At 37.3% G+C, this 6,170-nt stretch overlaps 1 long non-coding RNA gene across 1 annotated transcript in view; it reads left to right on the top strand.

Annotated features, from left to right (window-relative positions):
- Nucleotides 1-1,950: 1,950 nt before the first annotated feature.
- LOC105376595 (uncharacterized) overlaps nucleotides 1,951-6,170 on the top strand; it is a 28,111-nt gene continuing 23,891 nt past the window's right edge. The window contains exon 1 of the long non-coding RNA XR_931131.1: nucleotides 1,951-2,008. This is a non-coding gene — a long non-coding RNA (uncharacterized LOC105376595). The remainder of the gene's footprint in view (nucleotides 2,009-6,170) is intronic.

The raw sequence follows: 6,170 nt of genomic DNA, 5'->3' as shown, positions 1-6,170 counted from the left end.
AGGGCTATGACAGAACATTTTAGAGTGATGAGAATGTGTTATATCTTGATTAGGATGATGATTGCTTGAGTGTATTCACCTCTCAAAACTTGGTGAATTCTATACTTTAAATGTGTACATTATATTGAGTCTAACTTTTACTCAAATAAATTTTAAAAATAAAGAATGAACAAATGAACAGGTGATGATAAATATGGGACAGATACAAATGAATTTAATAGTTCTATTCTCTTAGGAATTTGTTAAATTCTTCCTCCCTGATATCTGAATCTCTCTCCATAGTCCCTATTTTACTGTAGGGTGCTGGTTCCAAAATGTGCAGAGTCAAGAATCAGAATAGGAAATTTTCCAATTTTCCACAAATCTATTATTAAAAAAATTCCCAAATCCAATTTAATACATAGTAATGCTACTTCCTCTTTCTAAGTGTAGGAAAAAAATGAACTTCATGAGGGGATTTTGAGAGCAAATAATTTGATGGATGCCTGAAGAACAAAAGAACTTGAGTATCTGCAGTCAGGAATCTGGCTTTGAGAAGGTTGAGTTTCATGGTGATGATCAGGCATGAACTAGAAAGATAATTTACAAATTGCCAGGAATCAATAATGGCTGTTTTATGAAGTGGTGGGGAAGCTAATCAAGCTTAATGATCTGAGAACAGAAACGATGCTTGATAAATGTTTATAACTTTTCCAAGGTTCCTAATTGATACACAGTGTTCTCAGATGCAGCAGTCATTTGAAGTAAGTAGAACAGATATTCCACAATTACTATTAATAATACATAAAAAATATATAGAGCCAAAATGAAATAAATTGTTTTCAAGATTTAAGTATAATATAGGCAGATGAAAACTGATTAGAAAAACAGATATGCTAACTAATCTGTCTATCCTGCCCTCTCTGCTACCCTTCCCAGTCTCTAATACCCACAGTTCTGCTCTCTACTTCCATGAACTCCAAACTTTTTTTGAGTTCCCACATATGGGTGACAATATGTAATATTTATCTTTCTGTGCCTGACTTATTTTGCTGAACGTAATGTCCTTAGGCTTCTTCATGTTGCCATGAATGGCAGGATATCATTCTTTTTTATGGATGAATAGAATTTCAGTGTGTGTTTATGCCATATTTTTTAATCCACTCATTGACTGATGGATATTTAGGTTGATTTCATATCTTCACTATTGTGAATAGTGCTGCACTAAACATGGGGGTGCAGGTATCCTTTTGATATACAGATTTTCTTTCCTTTGGTTAAACACCTATTAGTGGAGTTGCTGGCTTGTATGGTAGTTCTACATTTAGCTTTTTCTAAAACCTCCATACTGCCTTCCATAATGACAGTACTAATTGACATTTCCACCAACAGTTACACACATCTCCACATCTTCACCAGCAGTTGTTATTCTTTGTCTTTATTTATTTTTATAGGCTAGTGTTACAGGTGCGTCTTTGTTCTTAGAGCTCCAAAGATGGGGTGGGCCTCTCCCAAGATGGCAGCAAGCCTTTTGTTCTCTGACCTGGGGTTCTTGGCCTCACATATTCCAAGGAATGGAACCTTGGGCCGTGCAGTGATTGTTACAGCTCTATTAGAAGCAGTGGGTCACAGAAGAGAACTGTGGAACCCAGCGACTAGTGTTCAGCTCAATTAGGATGAACCCAGGCACTTAGCCAGGAAGGAACAATGGCGAGCCTCTAGCCTGATCAGGAGCGGCAATGGGTGCCTCATTGGATCAGGAGCGCAGCAGACACCCTGCAGAATCCAGAGGTGTGGAAGTCAGCGGCAGGTCTGCAATGGCGGCGATCAGCAGTGGTGGACAGCCAGCCATAGCTCAGGTTGAACGGGAACAAACAGAGACCAGAAGAGTGTGCAGTTGCAAGATTTAATAGAGTGAAAACAGAGCTCTCATACCATGCAATGGGAGGGGACCCAAAGGGGGTTTCCACTGCCGGCTCAAATTCCTGGGTTTATATCCCAATCACTGTCCCTCCCCCTGCGCTTTCAGGTAATAGATGATTTGACTATTTTTTACCTCCTGCTTTTAGCCTATTTGGTATTTTAGTGAGCCCTCCTTACTACCTGATTGGTCAGGTGTGAGCTGAGTTACAAGCCCAGTGTTTAAAGGTGGGTGTGGTCACCTTCCCCAGCTAGGCTTAGGAATTCTTAGTCGGCCTAGGCAATCAAGCTACTCCTGTCTCTCACTAGGATCGGGCATGGTGGCTCAAGCCTGTAATCCTAGTACTTTGGGAGGCCAAGGCAGGTAGATCACTTCAGGTCTGGAGTTTGAGACCAGCCTTGTCAATATGATGAAACCCCAACTCTCCCCCCCAAAAAATACAAAAATTAGCTGGTTGTGGTGGTGCATGCCTGTGGTCCCAGCTACTTGGGAGGCTGAGGTGCGTGAATTGCTTGGACCCGGGAGGAGGAGGTTGCAGTGAGCTGAGATCGCGCTACTGCACCCCAGCCTGGGTGACAGCTAGACTCTGTCTCACAAAAAAAAAAAAAAAAAAAAAGGACTAGATAAGAAGAATGAAGTCTGGTGTTTTGCAGAACTGTAGGATGAATATGGTTAACTATAATTTATTTTATACTTTCAAAGAGCTAGAAGACAGGATTTTGGGTGTTCACAACACAAAGAAATGATAAATGAGGTGATGGTTATACCAATTATGCTAATTTGATAATTATACATTGTATACACGTATTGAAATACCACTCTCTATCCCATAAACATGTGTAAATACTACTGTCAACCAAAAATAAAAGGGCAAGGGAGGTGAGGAAGAAAGCATGAATCCTCCACAGATTATGTTTTTATGACGTATGAGTGACCACCATAGGCACATTCCTAATTATAGTGAGAAGATATTTCAATAGTAACTATTTCTAGATGAAAATCATCTTTAGCAAATATCTTTCATTTTGGTTATTGGTTCTATCCAGTGTCAACCGTTCTTATGTCTATTATCCACTAATTCATACAGAAGCTAATTTGGTTAGTGCTGTGACTGGCTCTGAGGTGAGGGATTCCACAGAGGTGGCTTCACTTTGCAAGTAAAATCTAGAAGGAAAATGCCTTTGCCTTGGCACTGCTAACCTTGTACTTAACCACTAACCCCCATATTACAAACAAAATTCCTGTATTCATACTAGTTCATTGTCATCTGCTTTCCATTTTACTAAATTTTAGAGTAGGTATTTTGCACATAATATAAACTTTTACAAAACACTACCATTTTATGTTATGTTATTTCAATTTTCTTGAAAACAAATCATTCTGTGATGACTTCAGTGTTTTGTTTCCTAAGAAATAATGTGAAAAATGAAAAAAAAAAAAAAAAAAACAAGGAAAAACAGACACGCAATTTGGAGAAATCTGTATGTTACTAATTTTACATTGCCATACTATCTTTTGAACATTCTGTAACTTCTACTGTCATCTGAAGAAGAGAATATACAGACCTACATTATTGGCAACAGAAACACTGCTTTCTAAAAATCAGAATTTTGTTTTTATATCATGGTGATATTTATGTTAGAGATTCCAACTTTTTATGGAGACTTGTTTTTATTTTTATCTCTGACCAGGTATACCCTTTAAAAACTGTTGATGAAGCACATACTTAGTCGCATGACTTTAGGAAAAGCAATTTGTGGAATTCCACCTCAATTAAAAAATAATGAAATGATTTGTTTGTTTGTATCTGATACAAAAGCAGTAAAAGTGAAATTTTAAAAAATTAATGCAAAAAAGGATGAACTCCCAAAATATATATGTGATATACATGCTATTGTGTAATTCTTCTATAAGAGCTTGTATGAGTCTTGAAGAAGGCAAGAAATGCAGGTGTTTTTTGTTTTTGTATTTTTCTAAAGCAAAAGAAATGCAGGGTTGTTGCTTTGTTTTGTTTTTGCTTTTGCTTTTGTATTTTTTCATGCCAGAGCAAAAGGGATTTATTACCAATAACTTTAGTGTTAGATAAAGAGGATGACAAATATTCTTGATATTGAAACCTGAGGAATCTTAGTTGTTATTAAAATGAAAGTGGACATCCTGAGTTGTTTTGGAATCTATCCTTAATAAATACATTAAAGACATTAGTAAATCTCCTAGTTTTTTCTTAAGAGAAAACAATTCAGGTGGTTCAGCTAAGTCAATTTTATTATATAAAAGAGCAAAACAATGCATGTTTTAATGTATAACTGTCAGATGGTTTGAATATTTCATAGATAAACTTTAGACCAATGAAAAGTGTGCTTCTCAATGTTGGTTACAAAAGACACTCAAGAAAATGACATGCAAATTTGAAATATTGTCTTTTAAAATATCAATTCTTCATTAAAATAAACATCAATATTGATATTATGCAATTATAAGAGTGTTAAAATTAAAGTGTAAAATTGTAAGAGTGTTAGAGAGAGAGAAAGAAAGGAGGGAGACAGTGAGAATGACAGGATAGAGGAAGACAGGGAGGGAGAATGAAAATCAAAATTAATTAAGATACTGGCCAGGCACGGTGGCTCCTCCCTGTAATTCTCAGCAATTTGCGAGGCTGAGGCAGGCAGATCACTTGAGATCAGAAGTTCGAGACCAGTCTGGCCAACATGGTGAATCCCTACTAAAAATACAGAAGTTAGCTGCGGGTGGTGGCACACTCCTGTTATCCCAGCTACTTGAGAAGCTGAGGCAGGAGAAAGGAAGGAAGGAGGGAGGGAGGGAAGGAGGGAGGGGGTGAGGGAGGAAGGAAGGAAGGAAGGAAGGAGAGAAGAGAAAGAGAGATAAAAGAAAGAAGGAAGGAAGGAAGGAAGGAAGAAGGAAAGAAGGAAGGAAGGAGAGAAGAGAAAGAGAAAGAAAAGAAAGAAAGAAGGAAGGAAGGAAGGAAAGAGGGAGGGAGAGAGGGAGGGAGGAAAGAAAGAGAAAGAAAGGAAAGAAAGAAAGGAGGGGAGGGGAGGGAAGGGAAGGGACCCCTTCCCCATGCTCCTCATTGCATCATACCTCTTTGGGCTTTATTTATAGACCCACTGAGTACTAATTTACTCTCCTCTCATTCCCTTAATGTTACTTTAGTGAAATGTTTGGAAATTACAACTCTAGAAATGAAATGAGATTCTACAATGGTGCACAGTAGAACTGGCTCATACTGGGCCACAGGAGGAAATTGTTCAATTTTTAGGGATTTTGTGAGACAATTTTTAAAAACAGCTGTTATTATTCTTTTACAAAAATCTACAATAAAATATAATAAAAGGAAAGATAACTACTTGAGTTATTCCTTTCTAATTATTTTAATCTATGATTCCACCATATATGCTCTCAAGATTGTTTATGTCTTTTGTATCTGTATCTGAAAACAGCTTAAAATGATGTGCTACTGCATGTTTCTTCCCAAACCCACATTCACTCATGTCACATTGGTAGTTGAAATTAGTCCTGGTTGCTGCATTTACACTGCAGGCATTTGTGAGTACTATAAACCAGAATTTGGTGGTGGTGGTGGTTGCTTCAAAGATGAATTTTTAATCTCTTTAGAACACATTCTATGTGACTCCAAAAATTAGGTTCCATGACAACCTACATATCTCTCCTAAACCCACTATGGACCCCAACCTCTGTTCCAATACCAGCAGAGTTCCCATAAACATGATGATAATGAGGCTAGAGATAGGTAAAACAAGTGTAAAATAAAATAAAATAAAATAAAATTCCCTAAACAATCATTTGTAGTGATGAGAAACGCAGCCTCAGATTCTGTAGGAACCAGCATAAACTCCCAAGTCTTCCCCAGTTCAGTCATTTGGAAAAACTTACTTCTTCCAGCAACAAATCACGACAACACTTGATAAATGTTTTCTACTAGGAAATTTCATGGTAGTTGTTTTTAGGCTTTTAGGTACATAGCACTAAAACAGTTACTCAAGATCCAGACTCTAATAAGGAAAGAAGATTTTCACCATAAATTGCAACATATGAACTATTCAGACAAGATTGGTTGCATTCAGTGTGATATGGCTGTAGAACATATGAACTATTCAGACAAACTAGTAGAGTGTTCAAGATCTTCAGTATGCAAACCACTATTATTACAATATTCCAAGAGCTTAGTTCCAAGTTCCAGCCAAAGGCCAGTCATGAAAACAAGCCCTTCTTGAAAATTGAACACAGTCCT

Source organism: Homo sapiens, chromosome 11 (genome assembly GCF_000001405.40).
Source record: "Homo sapiens chromosome 11, GRCh38.p14 Primary Assembly".
NCBI classification, from domain to species: Eukaryota; Metazoa; Chordata; class Mammalia; order Primates; family Hominidae; genus Homo; species Homo sapiens.
This window is presented reverse-complemented; position numbering and strand designations above follow the sequence as displayed.